This window comes from Homo sapiens, chromosome 7, assembly GCF_000001405.40.
Source record: "Homo sapiens chromosome 7, GRCh38.p14 Primary Assembly".
NCBI classification, from domain to species: Eukaryota; Metazoa; Chordata; class Mammalia; order Primates; family Hominidae; genus Homo; species Homo sapiens.
This window is the reverse complement of record NC_000007.14, coordinates 7,716,421-7,743,896: the sequence shown is the minus strand read 5'-3', so window position 1 is coordinate 7,743,896 and position 27,476 is coordinate 7,716,421. Positions and strand designations below refer to the sequence as shown.

Below are 27,476 nucleotides of genomic sequence, written 5' to 3'. Positions count from 1 at the left end.
GTTTCTCTGGGGTGATGGAAAAGCTTTAGAAATAGACAGTGGTGATGGTTTCACAACATCATAAATATAATTAACGCTACTAAATTGTACACTTGTAAATGGTTACAATGGAAAATTTTGTTATATATATTTTAAAACAATATTTTTTTAAAAGTGCAGAATGGAAAATATATATGTATATGTATAATATATATTATACATATACATATACACATATATGTATATTAGCTTACTTTCCCCTGCTTTAATAATGAATAGATTCTTTCTCCAATAGACTCACTTTGTCCAGAGTAGGAAAATCTCACATCTAAAACGTGTTATAAGTCCAAACATACATAAGGGGAAAGTATTAACATGATTTTGGAAAATTTATTGAAATAAATCAATCAGTTAAAAAAATCTGTAAAAGATATCAAAACATCTTTAAACACTACTGAACATTCTGTTTTCAATGTTATAATTTATAAATTTTGTATCTGTAGTTCTTTAACCTGCCTTAATACTGTTTTTGACAAATGATGTTTGTTAATTGTTTTGCTATTTCACGTTGTGAGGAAATTAATTGACTGTTACAATTCAGGTTTTAACAAATTGCATTTCTACTATCCCTTGCTAATTATGCTGTGCTTAGATTTTGCATAACAATTCACACTACATTTTATCCCCTACTTTAATTTTAAAGCAACTTACTTGTAAGTATGTAAATGTATATAAATTTCATCCTGCACCACCAGACCAAAACTGATTGTGTTGTTTCTAAACCAATTTTAGATACATACTTACACAGAAATTCACATTCATGTGAATAAACTAAAAGTAACATTTAAATACACACCACCTTCTTCAGATTTCAACAGGAATGTAAACACATATATACACAGAGACCAAACAAAAACAACCTAGTGCATGGAGTGTAAAACGCACGTGCTTTACAATAAATATTTCTATACAAATCTTTTCTAATACACTGAAAATTATTACCTTAACATGATGATATTTTGAACATACAGCACTTTGATGGGGTTAGTTTAAAGCAAGTCTATTATGACAGAAAGAATAGTAAATATTCTATCACAGTGCCATTTTATACAAAATAAAGCATCAATATCAGAAACTGGAAAAATTAAAATGTCAAGCAATAGTAACTTTCTCATCAATCAAGCTGATTTTAGAGAAATAAATACAGAATTTCAAATGTTTGATTATTCATATTTATTTTATTCTTAGTTGGCAATCATGAAGAATCACTTGAAAATTATGGTTCTTTTCGGCTTATTACTAAACAGCATTCATCCTTTAATCCTTCTAGAAATTGTCCTGACCCTTTTCACAAGATGGCGCCGAAAGCGAAGAAGGAAGCTCCTGCCCCTCCTACAGCTGAAGCCAAAGTGAAGGCTTCGAAGGCCAAGAAGGCAGTGTTGAAAGGTGTCCACAACCACAAAAAAAGAAAAAGAAAAAAAGAAAGATCTGCCCGTCACCCACCTTCCAGCAGCCCAAGACACTGCGACTCCGGAGGCAGCCCAGATATCCTCGGAAGAGCGCCCCCAGGAGAAACAAGCTTAACCACTACACTATCAAATTTCCGCTGACCACTGAGTCGGCCATGAAGAAGACAGAAGACAACAGCACGCTTGTGTTCACTGTGGATGTTAAAGCCAACAAGCACCAGATCAAACAGGCTGTGAAGAAGCTCTGTGACATCGATGTGGCCAAGGTCAACACCTGATTCGGCCTGATGGAGAGAAGGCATATATTCAACTGCCTCCTGATTACGATGCTTTGGATGTTGCCAAACTTTCATCATATCAACAAGCGTTTACTAAACATCTATGATGTACCAAGCCCTGTGCTGTACAATGGAACTGTCTCACATCAGTATTCATTTAAAAATAGTATTTATGAAAATTTTTCAGAGGCAGTTGGTAAGAAATATTTTTTCAACACTATAACTATAAAACGATTGATTTTATTACGCTAAAAATAAAAATATTTTTTGTTTAGTAGTAAAAAATGACTTTATTTTTTCATTTTACAAAGGTGTTCTATTTTTAATAAGTTGACTTAAAGCCTTTTACTTAAGTTTTACAAGGATGAAGAAATGCAGGTTTTTCTCTGCTCTTATCATACTAATTGTAGTTAACTGAAAAGTCTACAGTTGTTTTTAGCAAATCAGTGGTTTAAGTTTGTTTAAGTTATTGTTGGTTCAATAAGCAGGGAGGACCTCAACTGTCATTCTAATCATGTTTCAACTAATTACATTACAGTGTTTTTTTATTATTTTTATTATTATTATTATTATTATTATTATTATTATTATTTTGAGACGTTGTCTCGCTCTGTAGCCCAGGCTGGAGTGCAGTGATGTGATCTCGGCTCACTGCAAACTCCGCCTCCTGGGTTCACGCCATTCTCCTGCCTCAGCCTCCCGGGTGGCTGGGACTACGACTACAGGCGCACGCCACCACGCCCAGCTAATTTTTTGTATTTTCAGTAGAGATGGGGTTTCACTGTGTTAGCCAGGATGGTCTGGATCTCCTGACCTCGTGATCCTCCCGCCTCAGCCTCCCAAAGTGCTGGGATTACAGGCGTGAGCCACCGCGCCAGGCCACAGTCTTTTTTTTTTTGAGACTATTTTTTCCTTGCTCTTTAAAGGAATCCAAAGTTCTCCTAGTAAGTTGAGCACCTAGAGAAACTTTATAAAGACTTACTCCCTGAATTACTGCCACATCATACAAAATAGAAGCTTTATAACCTGAAGAAGTTTATGTAACTGCACAACTGCTCACTGCCATGCTATTAGCTACGTTAATGGTTTTGTCAAATAAATGGAATGTAAAATTTTAAAAAAAGTCTAAAAGTCAGGCTTTGCAAGAATTTAAAGAAAAAATGAATTCCTAATTTCAACATTAACAGAAGAAAACTTTAAACTTATTCCCACAAAGGGCAGACATGAATTCTCACAATACATCCTTGGAGGTGACTGCAAACATTATATAGGTTTGGACCCAAATACTGGAATTCTTTACTCATTAAAATTTGCAATTGATAAAACAGATTTGGGTTAAAAGAGAAAAGGAGAAAGGAAGAAACAAAGAAAAGCCAGTTTTCAAATTGTCTTCAATTCTGGTATCTACATGTCAAGACATAAACAGATGCTGGATAAGGTCCAAAGAAACTAAAGTGATCACAAAATCATTGATTGCTGTATGAGGTAAATTACAACCGAGGGTTATGACTTCTCAGTAGGGAAAGGGCAATGCAAAAGGCAGATTAAAAGAGTATATAGTGTTACGAACAGTATGAAGGGTGTGTCCTACTTGAATTTGTTCACTAAATTTCAAAATTCTAGAAGAAAAGCAATACCAACTTATACTTGAAATAATTTAGGGCAAATAAAAGAATGTTTTAAGAGTTGATAGAAAACTTGTCAATCTTACCATAAAAAGTAGCATAAAGCTAAAATTATAACAGTTTGAAGAAGGATTTAGTTGTTTTTTAAGGATTTATAGACAAAGTAATCTTGCAATTCCATTTGGGTGGGGAGAGAAAACAGATAACTTTTTTTAAGGTTATCGCAAAGGATAGACGTGATTGCTCACAATACATCCTTGGAGGTGCTTGTAAACATTTTATAGGTTTGGACCCAAATACTGAAATTCTTTACTCTTATTAAACTTTGTGATTGATAAGTTAGATTTTGGTTAAAAGAGAAAGGGGGAAAGGAAGAAACAAAGAAAGAGAAGCCAGTTTTCAAATGAAAGTGATAGCTTGCTGCCCAGAATTTCAAATCTGTCTCATGCCTTGAAAGCAGTAGCAATCCAGGGTTTCAAGAACTTTTAACAATCATGCTTCTATCTGAAGGGGAAAAAGGGTTCACTGTATAGTAATTAGATGCTTAACAGTCTTGACTTATTTAAGCTGCCTTCCTATTTTCCCCATTGACACAGGTAGCAAGGATGCTGACTCAGATTTCTCTTCAGGCCTGCCTGGTTAATCTTCCTGTGCTCTCCTTTGTATAGACAAATAAGCAGAATCTGAATGTCTTCTTCACAAGTTTCTCTAACTACTAAATAGCCAGCTGAGCCATTTCTTCTACTCTTCATGAATCTGTCATCATTACAAAGTGAAAAATCAAAGATCTCATAATTTCTCTGCAAAAAATAACTCGATTAGTATAAACTTACAGTTTCCATTTTTAACATAATATCAGGAAATATTAAGTGCTTTTTGACCCTAATATAAATATCCAGATTTTCTAAAGCTTTTGCTTGATTGATTTGTTACGTCACTAGGAACATCAAACAGTTTCCTTGAGAAAAATAGATCTTGAAAAATCTATTTTAAGTTTGGAAAATACTTCTGACCATTTTTAGACAGCAAAGGTGCTGAGGTCAAACCACACTGCACAAGAGCAAATAATCAGTTACTTCAAAAAACCACTTGTTAAGCTTGCTACCAAAACAAAACAAAACTATTTTATTTTGTTGAGAGTACCATGAAAAGAGCAGGTGTTAGTAACGAAGAAAAATACCAAATCTCACCTAAGGCTACAGTAACTTACTAAAAATATGATAAATTTCACAGGGACCAGGCAAGGTAATGACAGTGAGCTATATTATTGACTGCATGATTAAACCTCAAATGCCTGCTGATGCAGCAGTTCATTACTAAGTATTTACGTGTACTCATCTGTGGTCTGTCGAATTAAAATCTTTTAACAAACTATGCTAATTTCCTACATTAAAATACATTAATCTAAGCTACTTAAAGTATACTTAGGTAACAATTAAGTGACACTTGAAATGCTTTAAGTTTATAATTTGTTGTCCAGATTTTGTGCCTGAATAATGGTGCTGAAAAGTAAAAATAATTTCTCATCCTTTTTCCTGAAATTTCTCCCTGTTCTTTCAAGAATCCAAACAACAGGATTTCATTCCCTGTGCTGAGCCTCCTTTCAGTTTCCTCTTCCTACCTATGTCTCAGCTGAAAACTTAAGACCACTCACCCTACAGCCAATGGTTCCACCTTCTGCAGCTGTCGTCTAAATTCCAAATGCAGCCATGTCAAGGCACCTGCACATGGCAGCTGTAAAAGAAACACTGGCACTTTACTGCTGAGAGGAAAGGTAGTGCCATTTTTTGAGCATCGGTTCCCTCCCAGAGAGGATGACAGCTGGCAACTCTGTCCTACAGAAAATAGGAAAGCAAGAGAAACATATACAGAAATGCCTACATATGATGTCACTCGGTAGCCACAGCCCTAAAAGTATCCCAGAAAGAGGGCAAATTAGCTGTAAAGCTAAAGCAAAAAATTTTCCTGAACAGTATTTGGTTACAAGGACAAATAAAGTTCATTTATATTCATTGCTTAGTGGAAGATTTCTTTTACAACCATGTTATTTTGCAAAACTTTTATATTAATGCAACAACTTAGTCCAACAACTTTGAACAATAGTCCATTAAACATCACCAGGTCCTGCTTGAACCAGTGGTTAGTATCAAATACCGCAGCAAGTTATCCAACTCAAATAGAGATGATTTAAATTTTATGACTTGATGAATACAGCAATGATTTATGTTTTGGCACTAAGGGCATAGGCAGAACAAGCCTCTGTTTTGTTTGCTTCATTTTCAGGTTCAGAGAGTCAGATCCCATGCTGGAAAAAATTTTACAAAATATACTAAATTCTTCCAATGCCTACACTAGTGGTTGGTCACACTAAACTTCTTTAAGAAATGGAATTAATTCTTTTAATAACTACTGTTTAATATTCTACAGACCCTTTTATCAATTCAAAAAAAATATACCCGTTTATGTATTAAAGTGACATTCTTCAGTTAGCTTGACTTTAGAATCCATTTTCTCAATTGATAACATGAAAAACTAGGTTATGCTGTCTGTTTTAAGGTGACTAGCAGGACAAAGTTTTAGTGACACTAAATTTTCCACTGCAGAATAATGACTAATATTTATTGACTTAGTGTATGCAAGTGCTGGGCTAGGCCTCTGGCATGTACTATCTCATTTAATCTTCACAACAATCTAATAAAAGTTTAACTACCATAGATTATGCTGTCTGCCCACATTCCACATTCTTAAGTTACTATACACAAAAAGACAATATACCCAGCTTCAAGGAGACCAAATTTAGCAAAAACTTAGGTAGGTAAATCAAGCAAAAACAATCATTTTTTGATGGGTGAAAATATAAGCACAATTAACACTTTATAAATCTCAATGTACACTTTAAAATAATAGTACAACCACTGCTGTCCCCCAAAATACATAAACTGTCATAGGTGAAATGAATCAAATAATACTGAGTTTTTCCCAGTGGTTAAGTTCTTCATTCATGCTGTGGCAGTAGTTTGTTTTCTCCAGGCTTTTAATCCTACAACATGACTAAATGTTATGTGTTCTTGTGATTGAATAATGCACAAGATAAAAACAAAATCCAAAGGTAAGAACTGGTGGTAGGTAGAAACCTGAGGTTTCTGCTGGAGAGAAGGGGAAACTTCTATTGACTGAGCACCCACTGGGCTGGTATTTTAGTTTACATAAGTTATTAGATCTAAACGTCACAACAGCCCTACTGAGTCCATGTCATCATCCTTGTTTCACGGCTGAGAAAACTGAAGCCCAGAGAGGTTAATTAACTCACCAAAGTTTCAGCTGGCAAGTGGCAGAGCTGAGATTCAGCTCCAAGGGACTGACTTAGTAGACAATGGGGTTTTCCCCTCAATTAATATACAGAAATTATATATAATTTGTAAGCTTAACTCCTTTCTCTCCAAAAGACGACAGATTCGCAAAATGTAGCTTTAGAGAACCTACTGGACAGGGGCATGGCCCACGCCAAAGAAGGAAAACCCCTCTCAGAGCAAGGTGGCCATGGCAGCTTCTGGAGAAGCAGTGGGGTCTTCAGGAAAACCAGAGGCCTGGTGACCTCTGGTGACCCAGGTTGTTTTCAGATTGTTTCCCACCACTGGAGAATGAAAAGCAGCCAGCTCAGCAGGAGGCCGCTGGAAGCCAGGCTACAGCTGTCAGAGATGCATTGGTAAAGGATGTGACATCTGTCTTCTGAATTGTGGAAAAGCTCAGAGGAGAGATACAGTGACTCCCATCTCAACATGGACCAATGAGTCTGTTGCTTCTTATTTTCTCAGTCACTGGATATGAAGACATCAAGAAAGGGCTTTAGGATTCAGAGAGAGAATTCTTTCTTAAAGAAAAGAATCAGACTTTGGAAGAAACATTTTTAGTAAATAAGATGAAGAAAAACATGTTCTGTGAAATGAAAACCAGTAAATAAGGGCTATCATGCACATCAGGAGGCCTGCATTGATGGAGATCATTTGAAGAGCACACTGGAATCAAATAAATAAAGACGACTGAATCTCTGAAAGTAGTGCGTGAATAAATGTAATCTAAATAAGAAGAATTCCTCCTCCTATGCACAGAAGTAGAAACTCGGCAGGTGAAGAGTCATTTAAACCCACCTTCATCAAATTGGGAGGTGGAAAATTGAACTGTGATCTGAAGATCCATGTTTTAGAATGACAGCTGGTACTTATAAGGAAGAAACGTGCAATTTCAAAATAGAGCTGCAAAAATCCAAAGGGATCCATCTCAGGAAGAAGGCCTGACCAGCAGACACTTTCAAAAACTAAGTTTTTCAAGTCATAATATGCAACATTTATATTGGGAACTGAAGAGAGAAATGACTACTAAGAACACTGAAAATTCTTACTACAACCAGGAAGGCCTTTGTCCCAAGAGAATGTGTTGAAGACATTGGGGAGGACAACATGAAACTGCATTTCATGCATTTCACTGCAACATTCAAAAGACATCTCTCTTTCTCACCAAATGGTAAAGCTCTTTCTAAGAAATACCACAGCTTCTCCTTTACCAGGGGATCTAAATATTTCATCAGGGAAAGCAATTCTCTAATCATGGACAAACAATGTAGATCCATTCCTATGGATGTGCCTAATGATGGCACAAACTTTTAGAAACACAATTCCTATAGCAAAAAACCTGTGGAAGATACTTTCTGGGTGTTTCCAAGTCCTCCTAAATTCAGTGAGGCTGACTTCGGGGAAACTAAAACTATTGGGTCAAAATAATCAAAACTGCCTTGATAGAAATTAACTCTGAAGAAATTCATATTTAACATAACAATGTGGCCGGGCGTGGTGGCTGACGCCTGTAATCCCACCACTTTGGGAGGCCAAGGTGGGTGGATCACCTGAGGTCAGGAGTTCGAGACCAGCCTGGCCAACATGGCGAAACCCCATCTCCACTAAAAATACAAACATTAGCTGGGTATGGTGGTGGGCCCCTGTAATTCCAGCTACTCGGGAGGCTGAGGCAGGAGAATCACTTGAACCCGGGAGGCGGAGGTTGCAGTGAGCGGAGATCACGTCATTGCACTCCAGCCTGGGCAACAAGTGTGAAACTCTGTCTCAAAAAAAAAAAAAGGTGAGGATGTGGGATTTACCCCAGTGGTTTTCCAAGAAATGTCTACAACACATTAAAATTAAGCTTGGATTAAAAGTCTGCAGAAGTCTTTAGAGTATGTGTGTATCTGCACATATTGTACCTTTAGAATTACCTTTAAATTATTACTAACTTTCCTTCTAATTTGATCCCGTAATGGGTTATTTTTTTGCCAAAATGTCTGTATCCTCAAGAGTGGTGTGTTACCAATGTCAACTTTTTGACCTTGCAACAATATTAATTTAAGGCATAATCACTCTTCATGGACAAATCATTGTTTATTAAACTGTAACTTATTTGATGTGTTCTTGAAATTTTTTTTACACTATTGGTTTTGTGAGGCATAAGTATTTCATGACAGAAACTACTAAAATAATACCCTGTTCACACTATATTTATTAAATATAATTTTAGGACTATAAAATACAATTTTATATTTACTATGTAAAAATAGAATTCAAATTCAATCTGCTTTTTGGTATAGTAGTCTTAGATATTTCCTGAGCATTGCAGGAAATTGCAAAGCATTGTTAATACACTTGGGGTTAAACACATTGTTTTATGTATGAAAAAAATAAAGTTAGCTAGCATATCATTTTCCTTTAAAGACCACAAGATATGATAAGGTGGTTAATGCAAATTAATGGAAATGATAGGTAACTATTTTAAGGGAAGAATGGAAAACAAGAGAGATCAAAAAAGCCTTTGAGGATAGGCATTTAGTTTCAGCATGATATGGCGAAGGGCTTTATTTTAACAAAATTCCTTGTGATCTTGAGTATTTATGATGAAACTTCAAATGTACAGTAAAATTTATATACTTTTGAATATAATGAAGAATAACATCTTTCAAATTTACTTGGGTGAACACTGAATAGGGAGAGAGGTTTAGCTCTGAAAGTAAAAGCACCAAAATACAGCTTAATTAAATAGAAAAGATAATTTCAAAAGTATTAAGCTTCTTATTATCATGAAATTCTTAAGGTTTCAAACCTAAAGACCTTAATTAAAATTTAAAAATCTTAATAATAAATAAAGGTTAGCTACAACACCAAGGCACAGGAACCAAAGAATTTCTGGGAACTAAGAGAAGATTCACGTCCACACTAGGGTAAATATAACAGTCTAATTTGACCTGGCACACCCAAAATCATACCACAGGGGGCTCAAAGCTCTGAGATGTCATGAGCTAACAAAGTCTCCTACGATTACAAAACTAGGAACAATATCTCAAAAAGAACTTAAGCCTATAGCCCTGCAGTAACTCTGAAAGAACTTTGATAATAATGACATTGATCAAAAACATCAAAAGTTTAAAAAAAGGGTTGGTTGCGGGGGGGAGAATAACCTTATACATACCTTGTAATTAAAGCACACACTGTTAATCCTTAACTATTTATAACAAAAAAATGAAAAGAGATTACATTCCTTTGAAAATCCAAGGAAATTAAAATCTCATGATTATCTGAAAGAACCTGAAATTACACTCATATTTTCTTCTCTAAAGAGAGATGTTCATATTATGTGTGACAGAAGTCTATAATCAATTTTAAAAATATGTGGGAAATCTGTCTTGGTGTATGCTATCTAGATTCAAGATAGCTCAAAGCTACTAATACAAATGGACTATTTTAGACCCATACAACGCACAACTATAAAAAGTCATATATTATTATAAATAAAGAAAAGTTTAGTGACAGAGCTGAAAATAATATTTTGGGAGAATATCTAACTTCAATTGACATGACTGGCTAGTATTAAAAACTGGCCTGGGATAATTCTGTACAATGTCTGGTGACATACTAGATGGCAAAGTCATAACTACCATATATTGCTAATGTTTTCTGTGTATCACTCATTTCATGTCATCATATTAATTCAAAACATGAGCAACATCTATTCTAACAAGGGACCACAATTATAATGTACGGAATTGCAGGAGGAATTCCTTCAATCAGGAATATGAAGTTTAGATTGTTTGGCCTTGCTTTCTAAGATAGCAACTGTCATGTCATTGAAGATATTCTCACTAAACCAATAAATAAGATCAGCAAAGGAAATGCATCAGTGAAGCACCCAAAATGTCAGGCTTCAGGGCATACTTAAAGCCTAGTGGTATCTTTGAAACTATACACCAAGACCACTGATGTCTTTCTGAGGTTTAAATTGGCATTCAGCTGACTACCCAGAGATTCTGGAGTTTCCATCCAAATAAAGGACAAACATACCAACTGGGTATCGTGTGCTACTTGCTGCTGTTTGAAAAAACAATACGAGATTACAACACTCTTTGTCCACAAAAATGCCTGACATTTCTGGCTTAAGACTTTTTGGGCCTAATAAATAACTCCATTACTTATGACAGAGGTTTCTTTCATTGACGGGTTTATTAAATAAATAAGTAGTTCATCAGTTTCCAGAATGTGTTGTTTCACACAATTTAATATGAAACAACTAGCAGGTGGTACTATTAAGAACCATCAGTAGTAGGAATTGTTTCATAGATGACCAACTTAATCTACCTTTGGAACACTGCCACCCTTTATAAGGTTTTTCCATATAACACATTCAAAGTTTTAGTGCCCATCTACTCAGGGTGTTTATGAAATCCTTGTGCAACTTTAAACTTGACCTATCCCACTGAACTATATTTTATGGGACTGTGTTAAAACTGTTGTGTATTCATCCAGACCACATTCTTTAAGAGAACTTCCAGCCAGGATCATGAATGCAATTTATGAAATCACTCGGCAGCAGCTGTAGAATGTTTTCAATGAGGTGGAAAATCAGACTGAATGTTGGATCACCAAAAACTGGTGGTTATGTTGAAGTCTATAAATTTAAACTGCAATGTTAAAGTCTTAGGCACACTGATTTAAGTCATTTTTAATTTTTTTCTGTCATAAATACAACAAAGATTAAGGTTTAAAGTTAACATGGAAATTTTTAAAACACCCCAAATGGCTATGATGTTATACACATCTATTAGAAACTTTATTATTTATCCCAGGTTAGAAGACTAATAGCAACTCATTAGAAAATGTTTGCCTTTTCACCTTACTGTTCTCCCTACTTCTTTCACTTCACAGAATTTATTGATTATAGAAGTTAAGGACAATTAGTAAATTTCAAGAAAAAACACTCAACTGGAACTTCATGGGAGGATCTACTCTTTTACGTTTAACAAAAACATATCAGTTGGCTAATATTCAGCCAATGAATATTTTCTTAAAAGGAACAGGAATTACTCATTGCATTTGCTTACTAAATAACAAGAATAATTTAGTGAATCTCAATGGCTAGAGCAAGTAATCCAAGCAGAAGATGTAAGAATATCTATCTAAAATTGACTATATAAAACAAAATAATGGTCATTAATATTTATCTCAGATATTTTTCACAATCCTCTAAGGTGGACCCTCTTACTGTCTCCATTGTACAGATAAGGAAAATGAATCATAGCACTGTTAAACAATTTGCTCAAGGTCATCAGGTCAGTTAAGGCAGGAAATAAACTTCAAAGCCAGTCTGTGTCCACAGTCCAAGCCCTTAGCTACTACACTTCTCCTGATTATGGTATTTTTATACTTAAGGCTTCTTTTACACATTTTAATGGATCATTATAAAGATTCTGAGTCACTGATCAAACAGCTTATTTCAAATTTGCTCTAGCGTTACACTCCATAGAAGAGATTTCTATTCTTTAAAAAAAATTTTTCTGAAAACTCTCTTTTATTGCGGCAGCTTATAAACAAATAGGCAATTTAGCAGTCTTTTGGGTTAATTACCATAAGCGAATTAACTTAAATGCCTATGAGTCTTTGGCATAATTCTCCAGAATGCAAAATGAGCCAATCTTATTGATTCTAGTTTTAACAATACCTCTAGAAGTGTTTTTTTTTTGGGGGGGGGTTGTTTGTTTGCTTTTCCTTTTCCTTTTCCTTTTTCTTCCTCACTGCTATCACTTTAGTCCAGGACATCATCATTTCTTGCTTAAACCGCTGAACACTGCTTCCAAATGTCCTCTAACCTGTTTCCTTTACAGACCATGCCCTGCACTACTACAATAGTTCCATCCTTAAAACACATATTTGAGGCCGGGTGCAGTGGCTGACGGCTGTAATCCCAGCACTTTGGGAGGCCTAGGCAGGTGGATCACGAGGTCAAGAGATCAAAACCATCCTGGCCAACATGGTGGAACCCCCCCCTCTCTACTGAAAATACAAAAATTAGCTGGGCGTGGTGGCACGCACTTGTAGTCCTAGCTACTCAGGAGGCTGAGGCAGGAGAATTGCTGGAACCCGGGAGGCGGAGGTTGCAATGAGCCGAGATTGGTGCCACTGCACTCCAGCCTGGTGACAGAGCAAGACACCATGTCAAACAAACAAACAAACAAAAAACATACTTGATCATTTTACTCCTTTCCCCCAGGAGGAACTTTCAACACATTTAAAACTCAAAGTTCAACAACTTTAGTGTAATATACAAAGCCCCACCACCATTCCCGCCACTGCTTCCACTCCGACTACTGCCCCTATCCAGCCCCAACCATCTATTAAATACCACATATCTCAGTATATTTCATCAAATATTATTTGCTTTGAAAATTGTCATCTTTCTGCTTAATATTGCTTAGATTTAGGTTTGGCAGATTTTGAGGGTTTTTTTTCCCCCAGGTTTTTGTTTTGTTTTGTTTTTAAGAGAAATGCATGCTTATTAGTACATGCCTATTATTTAAACCTAGCCACTAAGCTCATCTGGCTCAGATCAGGAGCAGAGAGGGTGAGACAGACACCTAGTGTACCTTTTGAAGGGCTTATACGTGAGGATGTAGGCAATTGTTTTTCTCTAGATTAAGAATGAACTAGGCAAGTATGAATGCAATCAGAGGTAAGTTTAAAGGTAGAAAAAGGACGAGAACTGGATGAGACAAGATCAATTGCTTAAAATGAGGACTAGCAGAGAGTGCAAGAAGCAGCAAACATGTCCATCAGTCTCTGTGGGCACATTAGCACGTGGTTCTCCATCTTAGCTGCATGTTAGAATCACCTGGGGAGTGTCTAAAACGTCCCTGCCAGGTGTTCTTCAGGCCAATTACATCAAAATCTCTAGGAGTAAATCGCAGACATTGGTATTTTTTAGAGCACCCCACGTGATTCCAAAGTACAGCCAAGGTTGAAATTCACCCAGTTAAGACAAAAGTGATGAGAAAAGACCACAGAAGAGAGCTGACAGCTCACATAACTGGAAAGCAAAGATACATTATCGTGCCCATATGACAGTTGTGATTTTTTCCAGGAATGCTTAATAGTGTAGGAGCAAGGGCAGAAAAAGGGAAAAGTCGAGTTTATCCAGAGTTGAAAAGTGGCAGGGTCCTAAATAATAGAGACCTGATCTTAGAACACTGCAACTATTGACCATAGGCTCCAGACTGGGTGAGAGAAGTCAGACAGTGATGAGAGACTGAGCAAACAGCTGTCAATGAATTCAGTGAACGAGTGGGAATAGTGGCAGGAAAGAGGGACAACTTGACACGAGAGGGTAGGATTTCTGGGTTTAAAATTTACGTTTTTCAAGGTAGCACTGCTCTGTGTGATTATATAATCTGGAGCAAGACCACAGCAGAGAATGACTGGGGTAGAAAAGAGAATGGCTGGCTCCACTGACAAAGTCTTTGGAGACTGAGGTTAGCGTGTTCACCAGGGCATCCTGAATTTTAGAGTTGTCCAGGCTAACTATAGGATCTAGGAAGGGAAAGAAATCAAGTCAAAGGGCTCTATGAAGTCTGGGGAACAATCCAGAGTGAGTAGAGGATAACAATGGGCAAATGCAAGCTCAGAAGATGGCAGCCTTATCAATGAGGTAGCAAAGAAATAGCCTGAAGTGGCAGAATGACTGCAAGAGACTGGCACCCTAATCACAGAAGCCAAGTACCACGTGTGTGACAGAATGGAGAGCATCTGTCTGAGAGAACAAAGTCCTCTCAAAGGATGAAAACGAAACATCATTTCAAACCCATAATTGTCCAGCTCATTCCCATCTTCAGCTTAATGTTCAACATTGGCTTCCATGGCTCTTAAGATGAAGACACAGCCAGTGCCTACAAGGTCTAGCATGACCAGGGTCTGCCTAACTCCCGAGCCTCATCATGTTCCATGCTCCATCCTGGCTCTCTGCACATCAGTGGAAGGGCCTTTTCCCACTCACCAAATGTGCTATGTTCCCTCCCACCAAACAGCCATTAAACATTGCTGTTCCCTCAGTCTCAAACTCACCTCTCCCTTCTCCATCCAGTTAACTCATTCACGTTTCCATTTCCGACACAAATACATTATGTACTTATGGAAGCCTTACTCAATCTTCCACATTTGGTCAGCTGCTCTCATACCACTTATGAACATTGTAGTTTTACACTTATTTAGGTTGTCGTATATGTAATGTCTGTCTCTACAACTGGACTGTCAGTTCTATGAGGGCACAGGCTGTATCCATCATATTCACCATACATTCCTAATGCCCAGCAAAGTCACTGACATACGGTAGGCCCACTATAAATATTGTTGAATAAATGAATGAAAACATGGATACACCACAAATGAGAAGGAACATAGTGAAAAGACTACTGGAATCTTAATACTATTCATATAGCAGCAAGAGATACCACTTCTTGAGTGCTTCCTGTGTAGCAGATATGGCTACTTATTTAATCCATGGATCAACCTCTGAGATAGGTGTTTTTTTTTTTTTTCTTAAGATGGAGTCTCACTCTGTCACCCAGTCTGGAGTGCACTGGTGTGATCTCATCTCACTGCAACCTCCGCCTCCCGGGTTCAAGTGATTCTCCTGCCTTAGCCTCCTGAGTAGCTCGGACTACAGGTGCACGCCACCACGCCTGGCTGATTTTTGTATTTTTAGCAGAGACGGGGTTTCACCATGTTGGTCAGGCTGGTCTCAACCTCCTGACCTCATGATCCGCCCACCTTGGCCTCCCAAAGTGCTGGGATTACAGGTGTGAGCCACTGTGCCCGGCCTGAGATAGGTTTTATCATCTCAATTTTGTAAATGAGAAAACTGAACACTCAAAGAGATTAAATCACTTGCCTGCTGGCCGCCAGCTGTGAACAGCGAGAACCAGGATTTTCCCAGGTAGAGGTACCCTAGATCTTTATGTCAAGTTGACTATAAAGATTCCTACAGTTAAAGCCAAATTATCCTCAAAAAAGCAACTCTAGATGTGCACACATGTACACACATATCTGAACATGTACCAGTTTGGCTTCAAGCTGGTACTCTGAATGGGGCATTTTACCACAGAATGGAGGTCCCAAGAGTTAAAAATAGGGCCAACAGAAGAAAATAGGTTTGGATGGTGTATTAGTCAGGGTTCTCTAGAGGGACAAAACTAATGGAATAGATATATATATATAAAGAGTTTATTAAGGAGTATTAAATCACACAATCGTATATAAAAAAAGTTTATTAAGGAGCATTAAATCACACAATCATATATAAAGAGAGTTTATTAAGGAGTATTAAACTCACACAAAGGTCCCACAATAAGCCATCTACAAACTGAGGAGCAAGGAAGCCAGTTCAAGTCCCAAAGCTGAAGAACTTGAAGTCTGATGTTTGAGGACAGGAAGCATCCAGCACGGGAGAAAGATGTAGGCTGGGAGGCTAAGCCTGTCTAGCCTTTTCACGTTTTCCTGCCTGCTTTATATCCTGGCCAAGCAAACAGTTGATTAGAGGGTGTTCACCCAGATTAAGGGTGGGTCTGCCTTTCCCAGCCCACTGACTCAAATGTTATTCTCCTTTGGAAACATGCTCACAGACACACCCAGGATTATTACTCTGCATGCTTCAATCCAATCAAGTTGACACTCAGTATCAACCATCCCAAATCCACTCCTTGTCAACTTGAACTCATACACATTTCCTGAGATCATATATAATTTTCAAATAAAGACAATAATAAGGTCATAATTATGCCTAACATAATTCAACTATGCTATGTACAACCGAAAACACACCAATCCCCAACCCAAATGCTATTACATAAAGTTAACAATACTTAAGGGTTGATATGAAGCCAATAAATCTTATGTCTCATGATAAAGTAAAAAGGAAAATGAAGGCATTTTCTTAACACAGTGTATACATGAACAAGCATGTTTTTAACAAAAAGAGGAAGAAATACTCATTGAGAATTACAGTCCTCATTTCTGCAACTGGTCATGTGGTTGTAGCTGGTATTGATGACTACCTTTTTATCCTACCCATTCTGTATTCCCTTTGCCTTCAGCACACACCTCAACAGGTCATGGGTTTTTTTCCAGATGGAGTGACCCAAACTTTCATTATTGAAGGGTCTTGGCCATTTGTAGTCCTGCCTGGAGTGGGCTGTTGTAGTTTCCCGCTGACCTGAACCACAGGGCAGGGTAATACTAACAGACACCCTATGGATCTCCTCTATTCCATGCATACTCTTCCTTATCTCTGTTGTGAAGTATTAGGCTGATTTCATCTTGATAGTCCAGGTCAATCACCCCAGCCAACACTGTATCTCCCTCCTTAGACTGTTGACTTAAAGGTGGGAGGTGCCCAAAGGGTACAGCTGGCAATCTTAACTTCCAGTTTAATGGAATCGTTGTTGTGTCTCCTGGCAGCATTTCTCCCTCTGGAACTAACATCTCTATCTGGAACTAACAGCTCTAGGCCAGCAGAACGTAATGTCACAGGAAAAGGAAGCAAAATTTTGCTAGTGGGTCACTAGGGGTGAGGGTGAATGGTGCCATTTCCACTTCCACCCCTTGATTCCTGGACCTGTGAATCCTGGCTATGGGAGAAACAGTACCATATATTGGACACTGATTCAGAGCATACACGGCCTTCTGGAGAACTTTGCGTCAGCCCTGTAAAGTGTTGTCACCTAATTGGCGTTGTAATTATGCCTTCAAAAGGCCATTCCATTATTCTATCAATCCAGCTACTTCAGGATGATGGGGAACATGGTAAGACCAGTGAATTCCATGAGCATGAGCTCACTGCTGCACTTCTTTAGCTGTAAAGTGAGTGCCTTGGTCAGAGGCAATGCTGTGTGGAATACCATGATGGTGGATAAGGTATTCCATGAGTCCATGGATGATAGTCTTGGCAGAAGCATTGCTGAGGTCACCCGTTAGTGAGCACTCACATGGGATACAAATATCTTCACAGTTTTTGACCAGACAGGTCCATCCACATATCTCTTCCCCAATTTTCTTTGTCACCAATTTTCCAATCATGCTTCTTCCAAGTCCCTGACCATCCAGCCAAACCACTGGCTACAGCCCATGAATCAGTACATAATCATACATTTGGCCATCTCTCCTTCCATGCAAAGTGCACAACCAGGTGCAATGCTCAAAGTTCTGCCCATTGGGAAGATTTCCCTTCACCACTGTCCTTCAGGGATGTCCTAAGAAGAGGCTGTAGTACTGCAGCTGTCCACTTTCAGGTGGTGCCTGCATATCATGCAGAACCATCTGTGAACCAGACCCTAGTCTTCTCTTCCTACGTCAACTGATCATAGGGAACTCCCCAAAAGGCCATTGGTGCAGTCTGGGGAAGAGAAGGCAGGGTGGCAGGAGTGGAGACCATGGGCATTTGAGCCACTTCCTCATGTAACTTGTGCCTTCACCTGCTCAAGCCCGATCACATATATACCACTTCCATTTGATGATGGAATGCTGCTGTGCATGACCCACTTTATGGCTAGATGGGTCAGAAAGCACCCAGTTCATGATAGGCAGTTCAGGTCATATGGTGACTTGATGATCCATAGTCAAACGTTCAGTTTCCACCAAAGCCCAGTAACAGGCCAAGAGCTGTCTCTCAAAAGGAGAGTAGTTATCTGCAAAAGATGGCATGGCCTTGCTCCAAAATCTTAGAGGCCTCCACTGTGATTCACTTATGGGGGCCTGCCAAAGGCTCCAAATAGCATCCCTATCTGCCACCGATACATTAAGCACAATTGGATCTGCTGGGTCATATGGCCCAAGTGGCAAAGCAGCTTACACAGCAGCCTGGACCTGTTGCAGAGCCTTCTCCTGTTCTGGACCCCACTCAAACTGGCAGCCTTTCGGATCACTCGATAAATGGGCTGGTGTAAAACACCCAAATGAGGAATGTGCTGCCTCCAAAATCCAAACAGGCCCACCATGTGTTGTACCTCTTCCTTGGTTGTAGGAGGAGCCAAATGCAGCAATTTATCCTTCACCTTAGAAGGAATATCTCAACAGGCCCCACACCACTGGACGCCTAGAAATTTTACTGAGGTGGAAGGTTCCTGAATTTTAGTCAGATTTTTTTCCATTCTCTGGCATGCAAATGTCTCACCAGTAAGTCCAGTTTGTTTTCTACTTCTTGCACACTGGATCCAATCAGCATAATGTCATCAATGTAATGGACCAGTGTGGTATCTCGTGGAAGTGAAAAGCAATCAAGTTCTCTCCAAATAACATTATGACACAAAGCCAGAGAGTTGATATACCCCTGAGGTAGAACAGGAAGCTGAAAGCAAATTGCTTCTGGTGGACCTTATGGACAGGAATGGAGAAAAGGGCATTTGCCAAGTCAATGGCTGCATACCAGGTATCAGGAGATGTATTAATTTGCTCAAGCAATGAAACCACATCTGGTATAGCAGCTGCAATTGCAGTCACCACTTGGTTAAGCTTACAATAATCCACTGTCATTCTCCAAGATCCATCTGCCTTCTGCATAGGCCAAACAGGAGAGCTGAGTGGGGATGTGGTGGGAATCACCACCCCTGCATCTTTCAAGTCCTTAATGGTGGCACTACTCCCTGCAATCCTTCCAGGGATGTGATACTGTTTTTGATTTACTATTTTTCTAGGTAGAGGCATCTCTAATAGCTTCCATTTCCCACCATAATAGCCCTCACCCTACTGTCAGGGAGCCAATGTGGGGGTTCTGCCAGCTACTAAGTGTGTCTATGCCAATTATGCATTCTGGCCCTGGGGAAATGACCACAGGATGAGTCTGGGGACCCACTGGACACACTGTAAGTCAGACTTGAGCTAAAACTCCATTAATTACCTGACCTCCATAAGGCCCTATTTTAACTGGAAGACCACATTGGGTCCCCCGGAATCAACATCACCTCAGATCAACCGTGCATTGGAGAAAGGGAAATGATGAGGCATTTCAGGGACTATCTGAAATGACATTATCAGTTACCCTGATAAAAGGCTGGAGGTCTCCTTGGGGGAGGATGGGAGAAAGATTAACAGCATAAATTGTCGGTAGTATAATGGGATCCTTCCTCAAGGGGACCCGGCCTCCCCTTCATTCAAGGGGTTCTGGGTCTGTAAACTGGCTCAATTCTGGAAATTGATTGAGGAGCCATGATTCTGTTTTTATAATTCAAATTAGTCTTTTGTCCATTCGATCTGAAAATTTTCTTCTCATATAAATTAAGTAGGTATGCAGTAGGCTTCCTATCAATTTCACTTCTAGGAACACCGTGATTAATTAGCCAATGGCAGAGCTCTACACGAGTCAGACTATTCTGATTGTTGCTTTGCCTCTGCTGTCCATTACAGTAGCTATGCCTACCTTGCCTTTGACGGCTGAGTGCCACCACTTGGCCCCTGCCACCTCAGGATCCAGTTATTCCCATCATATTTAAATTTTGTAGTTGAGTGACTATGGTTGCCACTGTTAGTTCTGACATACAGAGAAGAGCAATTATCGGGCTCTTGAAAGATACAGGTGCTGCCCTCACAAATCTATTTTGCAAAGCACTGGTCAAAAGTATATCTTCTGGACCCTCCCAGCTGGGAAGAGTAGGTCTAAAGTGACTAATCCACTCCACCATCCCAATCTCCCTAAGCCTTTGGATCCCTTCCTCTACATTAAACCAAGGGAGATTAGGCATTTCCAGCTCGCTCATAGTGGGCCATATTTTAATCCACATTTCAGCTAATCAAGCAAATAAACTACATTAGAACATTTTTTAACTCCCTGAGCTGTAACATTAAATGCAGAATCCCTACTTAGTGGGCCCAAATCAATAAATTCAGCTTGATCTAACTCTATGTTCCTTCCACCATTATCCCACACCCTTAATATCAATTCCCACGCCTGTTCTCCAGATTTCTGCTTATGTAAACTGAAAAATTTAAGCAGTTCTTCTCAAGTGTAGCACACCTCCTCATGGGTCACACTCTGAACCTTGCCTCTAGGGGCCCACCAGGACTTTAGTCTAGTTATAGCTCTAGAAGCAAACAGGGATGTTGGCAGTGGCTCCTGAGGAGAATCAACATTATCTTGCCTGGCAACTGCTCAGGGGAGGCCATCACTGTTGCCTCAGGCAGTGCAGGGTTTATCTCCTCAGACAAAGGTGGAAAGGCTGATGGCAGCATCGGTTGGAGAGGGAATGTTGCCAATACTGGGGATGGAGAAGCTGTTTCTTCTGGCAAAAAAGATTGATCAGGGTTTACAAGCTCAGTGTCCCCAGCTTCATCAGGGTCCTCCCACACGTCCCCATTCCAAGTTGCAGGGTCCCATTCTTTTCCAATCAATGCCTTCACTTTAACAGTAGACACCTGGTGAGGCTGTGCATGCACCTTCCATTACAGGTCAGCCACCCACATGATAAGAGCTTGTGTCTGTTTTGCCACAATTTCAGCTCTTTCTCTACAGGAGGTAAGACTCTCACTGAGGGCAGTCTTAGGAGATTTAAGGCTCAGTATATGCTTCTGTAGCCAGGAGTCAGAATCCCTGAATTCATCATTTTCCTTCATCACTTTGTCCAGTGAACTTAGGAGCAACCAACCAACTTCATTACATTCCTTAGTTCTCCACATACAGCCTAAGGTATTATGTACAGAGTCACTAAACCCCTTGTCTCACATGGGCGGTAAATCAGGAGTGTCAAATGCATTTATTTTGCATAACTGTCTAAACAGTTCATGCCAAGGACTATCAGTGTTCTCTATACCATTAGAAGTAGAGTCCTTCGCATTATTGGGTCTAATCATATTAAGCAGCCAACTCCAGAATCCCCAAAACCAACGAAGGAACTCCATCCTTAATATTCTGTTCCTCTAGAACCACTCCTCGTACCAAAATCTATATTAGTCAGGGTTCACTGGAGGGACAGAACTAATAGTATATATCTATATATCTATATAGATATATAGATATACATATATATACATATATATATATAGAGAGAGAGAGAGAGTTTATTAAGGAGTATTAAACTCACATGATCACAAGACCCACAATAGGCCGTCTGCAGGCTGAGGAGCAAGGAAGCCAGTCCAAGTCCCAAAGCCGAAGAACTTACAGTCCAATGTTCAAGGACAGGAAGCATCCAGCATGGGAAAAGATGTAGGCTAGGAGGCTAAGCCAGTCTAGCCTTTTCACGTTTTCCTGCCTGCTTTATATCCCAGCCAAGCGGGCAGCTGATTAGATAGTGCCCATCCAGATTAAGGGTGGGTCTGCCTTTCCCAACCCACTGACTCAAATATTAATCTCCTTTGAAAACACCCACACAGACACACCCAGGATCAATACTTTGCATCCTTCAATCCAATCAAGTTGACACTCAGTATTAACCATCACAGATGGGGAGTTCAGTAAAATCCCTGAGAGGGCAGGTAGCAAAATCCTCATGGACAATCACAAAAAAGATCAAGGAGGAGGAAGAGGCAGCACAGAGATTGATTCACTGCCTCTGCAGAGATCTTTCCTGGGGTGGAAGTGAGTTTTCATTCCAGTAGAAGATCATAAAAGTGACAGTTCCTGCTGATGACAAAAGTCTCCTCCATATTTTATGAAACATAACTCTGCCATCACCATTTACTACTTATTCAAATGCATGAGCTTCCTTTTAAGGAAAAATGGCTCCTAATGGCAGTATCCCCTACGGCTCACAATTATGCAGCAGTAGTGTGGTTTTCACGCAGGTGCCTTAACATTTAAAGTAGAATTCAAATTTGACCACAATGACAGGTCCAGAGCTCATGAACCTCTGCACACATATGGAATATGTGAGAAAAGAAACTTGTCAAAAATCCAAATGACAGAAAAAGAGATTCACATACTGTATTAGTTTCCTAAAGCTGCCATAGCAAAATGGTACAAACGTGGTGGCTTAACACAACAGAAATTTATTCTGTCACATTTCTGGAGACTAGAAATCGTCAATCAAGTTGTCAGTAGGGCTAAGCTCTCTCTGAAGTCTCTAGGGCAGAATCCTTCCTTGCCTCTTCCTAGCTCTGGTGGTTTCTTGCAATCCTTGGTGTCCCTTGGCTTGTGGTGGCATCATTTCGATCTCTGCCTCTCTCACATGGCCATTTCTCCTCTGTGTCTCCCTGTGTCCAAATTTCCCTCTTCTTATAAGGACATCAGTCAGTGAAGGAGGAGGGCCCACTCCAATGAGTATGACCTCATCTTAACTTGATTCCATCTGCAAACAGATTATATTTCAAAATAAGGTCACATTCATAGGTACTGGGGGTGAAGTCTTAAATATACCTTTTTGGGGGGACAGAATTCAACCCATAACTCATACTAACCACCTAGTCTGGATTACTAGAAGGCAGCACACCTGCACTTAGCCTTCACTGAAGGCTCTTAATTCTTCAGTAAAATGCCCCTTGTTTTAATAAAAATGTTTAAATAAAAATACACAAAAAAACAAATTGGCTTCTTCTACAAAATCACTATTGAAGATGCTTTTTTTTCTCAAAAAGTCTTTTTATAATTACCATGAAGAAAGTTTATTTCTTTTGATGACAGTGAAAATTTTTCTTTTGTTTGGCAATTAGGAAGCTTACTAGTCAGCACTATAGTACTGTACTAATACTCAGTAGTCTATAGTACCATAATACTACAGTAGTCTGGGTGTTTCTCAAGTTTAGATGGGGAGAGTAAGTTAGGGGGGGAAATGATTAAAAACACAGATGCCTGGGACACACTCCAAACCTATAAAATCAGAAGTGATGGGGAAGAGGCCCAGGGTTATTCGCTTCTGACAAGCAGCCAAAGTCATTCTGCTGTATACCAACTGTGAGTGCCACCAGCCTAGGGTTTTTACATCCCATTTCCCCCTTTATTCTCAGAGATGTATAGTTTGTGACTTTTATATTTTAATGCTCTTGTGTCCTTTATTGCAAGCTATATTTTTTTTAGCTATTTACAATTAAGATTAACAAGCAATTTCTAAGTATTCTACTTCTGAACTATACATTTGAAATAATACTTGTGACTGTATTTTAGGTTCTGTAGCACTTTTCCAAAAATGACATACATTTTCAAACAGATGGCTTTATTCATGCTTACCAAGTCCCTCTGAGGTACACTGGAAGAAGAAACTTTATTCCCTTCAAAAATAAAGGCTCAAGTCCAAGTCAAACTGAGTACTTATTAAACACCTTTAATGTTCAAGACCCAGGGAGGTACTTCTCTGAATATGGAAAGGTTAGTGTACCACTTAAACACAGTACACTGATTTACCATCTCTTGTTTGTACAGAATTAAATAGTCTAGACAATTTAATTATTTTAATTGATCAGTGTAAGTTGTTGTGAACAATTCAGAATAAAAGCTCCAAGTACAAGTACTTTCTTTCCACATTATTCTTCTCATCTTCAGTTCACATATGAAAACTAAAGCCTCCTAAACTTAAGATTATAAAGTACTGCAAAGTACAGTAGTCACTAACGTGAAAAAAAAAACTACTACTTTCCATGGCTGTCTATAGCTCAACTCTCTGAAAAATATACAGTCGGTTTGAAGTCTTTTGTGAAATCCCTTGTGAGACTCTACTGTTGACTGTGGTTAGAATACATTCAAAAGTATAATCAGATTGCATCATCACCATCACCTGCTCAGAGGCAAGTTGAAGAAACATGTGCTCATGAGGCTGAAGCTGGCTTATTGTACTACACTCTCATGTGGGCTTGCCAGAGAGATTAGTCACCATTTTGCAGCTGGTTTCAAATTCAGTTGCTGCGATACAAGTGCAGATGCAATGGCTTACCCTAATTATATTGCTCCAGTTTAATCTTTCCATTTGTAGCATACTATATACTGGATCAAATTCAAGACTCTGGATTGGTTTCAAATAGAAGAGATTTCAAAATCACACATTTGTTATCCTCTCCTAAAGCTTGCTGATCATATTTCATCATTGTATCTGCTAGATCTTCTGAATTCACCCTAAAGGTGTTTTTAGCTCTCTAAACCATCACTAAATCTTGATAATTAATAAAAATGCAGAAAAAAACAGTTCTTAAAGCTTTTTTTAACACAATAAAAGGAAAGTTATGTCATCTCCAAAAATACTCATATGTTTTTTAAAATTTCAATTTTCTTCCTCTTTGGAATTAAATATATGAGCAAATTCTAAGGAAATTAATTGTAATCAGTGGTTTCTAAACTTAACTGATGGTCAAAATCACTTGGGAAGCTTTAAAACACACATACATTTCCCCCACTTCACCCTGTACCTGTTGAGTCATAATTTAAAGAGGTTTCTTTTTAAATTAATCTAGAAGTTAAATAAAGCTAATGCTGGTATTGCTTCTGAGAGTCAGAAAGAAAAAAGAAAGGTTCCTGCCTATCTCATGCAGGTCTTTTTAACTGCCTGCTACTGTCCATATTTAATAAATGCCATCTGTCAAGAATGATGTCTATACAAAGAGATGATGTAATCAGAAGAACTTTAAAATAAAAGAAAAAATAAAATCCTAGCATCATCAGATCCACAGAAGCTACTCAGATAAGAGGCTCCAAGAGGACATTTTTGGATGTGAAAAACAATGAGAAGGAGGACAACACACATTTACAATCGTCTTAATTTTGTAAGTATCTGTTTGAATTTGTTGGATACATAGTTTTTTCCTTCAAAATAACTTAAAGGTATTATTTTGAAGACACACATAGTCAAGTTTAGATTATGCATTTTTACTCCGTTCTTATTCATTTGTTCCATGCTAGTGCTGGGAATATGGTGGTAAGAACAGACAACCCATGCCCTCACTATGCATACAGTATCATCGATGGCATTATAAAAATATCAAAATAGTTTTATGGTTAAAATAAACTATAAGAAATTCACATAAGTATATTTCAAAATACCCTTGGGGATAAAAATAACACATTCAAGTTACAGCTGACACATTATTTGGAAAAATCACTCAAGTTCTGCAATTTCTTCTTCCCAAATTAATACCAGTTTTACTTTCTTATCTGATCTAAAATTTATAACTTATTATACAACAATGTGAAGTTAATAAGTGAATGGTATATCACAGGTTATTCAACACACTGCTAAAATTAAAAATCATTGTGTCAATTCTAAAAACTAGATTTCCCTAAACTCTAAAAGCTACACAACTATGACAAACAGAATCTACAGCACTCTGTGACTCTTAATATTACAATTAAACATCAAGTTTATTAATAGAAAAGTTTGGTAAACAGATTTTCACATGACATAATGTGTCAATTTGATAATTATGGCCAATCATAAACTTAAGCATAAAAGGTGATGGTAAGATAAAAACAAAATCTTGAGGACAAAATTTCAAACTCATGCTCTCATCCAGGCCAGAGTTCCTGAACTATACAATGACAAACTAACTTCTTTGTTAAACTGCATTTTACTCTTTACAAATACAAGTAGTTTTCCAAATACTCCATGCTGTTGATGCCCCAAAGTGGGAAAAACAGATGAATTAAATAAATAGAGGCCATGTTAGCCAATGTGATTGAGACCATTTCTTCATTTAATAAAAAAATCAGTTAAAGTGGGAAATCATAAAAAATACATGCATACCTTAAACATTTTACTTCAAAACAATAAATCATATTCATTTAATAAAGTAAATACTTCTGAAGTAGCAGAGTTGTCTGAGGTAAATACCTGAGGTTATCGTCTCACGCCAAAGAAACTGAAGGACGAGGACACACAAGGAGTGAGTTTAAGAGTGGAGTTTTAATAGATGAAAGAAACAGGAGGCTGGGCGAGGTGGCTTATGCCTGTAATTCCAGCACTTTGGGATGCTGAGGCAGGCGGATCACTTGGGGTCAGGAGTTCGAGACCAGCCAGGCCAACGTGGTGAAACCCAGTCTCTACCAAAAATACGAAAATTAGCTGGGCGTGGTGGCGCATACCGGTAGTCCCAGCTACGCGGGAGGCAGAGGTGAGAGAATCGCTTGAACCCGGGAGACGGAGGTTGCAGTGAGCCAAGATCATGCCATTGCACTCCAGCCTGGGCAACAGACCAAGACTCCGTCTCAAAAAAAAAAAAAAGAAAAAAAGAAAGAAAGAAAAAGGAAAAAGAAAGAGGAAAGCTCCCTCGTGCAGAGGAAGGGGTCCCGAACGGGTTTCCGGGTTCAGGGCAAGAAGAGGTTGGTTTTATAGGAGGCGGTGTCTGATTTACATAGGGCACGAGAGATTGATCAGACCAGGTGTGCCATTTACATAGCATGCTCCGCCTCCCAGGTTCACGCCATTCTCCTGCCTCAGGCTCCCGAGTAGCTGGGATTATGGGCGCCCGCCACCATGCCCGCCTAATTTTTTTGTGCTTTTAGTAGAGACGGGGTTTCACCGTGTTAGCCAGGATGGTCTCGATCTCCTGACCTCGTGATCCGCCTGCCTCGGCCTCCCAAAGTGCTGGGATGACAGGCGTGAGCCACCGCGCCGGCCGCGCCGGCCTCCACCCTAATCTTTTACTAGGCAGATGGGTTTGCTACCTGGCCAGCACCATGTTGCCTGCCTCTTTACTGTGCACGTGGTGACAAAGAAAAGGGAAGGTGGAGCCTCCATGTTGAACATACCTGGCTTCCAAGTGGCCCTTTACTATTGGCACAGCTACCAGCATTCACCTGTGCAAGCTTCCAGCTTGCTTATCTATGTCTGCAGCTCGATCTTTCAGGCTGCTCTTTTGTTA

At 38.9% G+C, this 27,476-nt stretch overlaps 2 protein-coding genes and 2 pseudogenes across 4 annotated transcripts in view; 3 read left to right on the top strand and 1 right to left on the bottom strand.

Annotated features, from left to right (window-relative positions):
• Nucleotides 1-27,476, bottom strand: part of UMAD1 (UBAP1-MVB12-associated (UMA) domain containing 1) — a 238,472-nt gene that overhangs the window by 135,327 nt on the left and 75,669 nt on the right. The window lies entirely within an intron of this gene.
• Nucleotides 1,320-1,810, top strand: RPL23AP51 (ribosomal protein L23a pseudogene 51; annotated as a pseudogene).
• On the top strand, nt 7,069-8,123 carry LOC100533631 (5-azacytidine induced 2 pseudogene; annotated as a pseudogene).
• The window catches only part of RPA3 (replication protein A3), an 82,090-nt gene continuing 79,903 nt past the window's right edge, over nt 25,290-27,476 (top strand). The window contains exon 1 of the mRNA NM_002947.5: nt 25,290-25,382. The gene's annotated coding sequence lies outside the window, so the exon portion shown is untranslated. The remainder of the gene's footprint in view (nt 25,383-27,476) is intronic.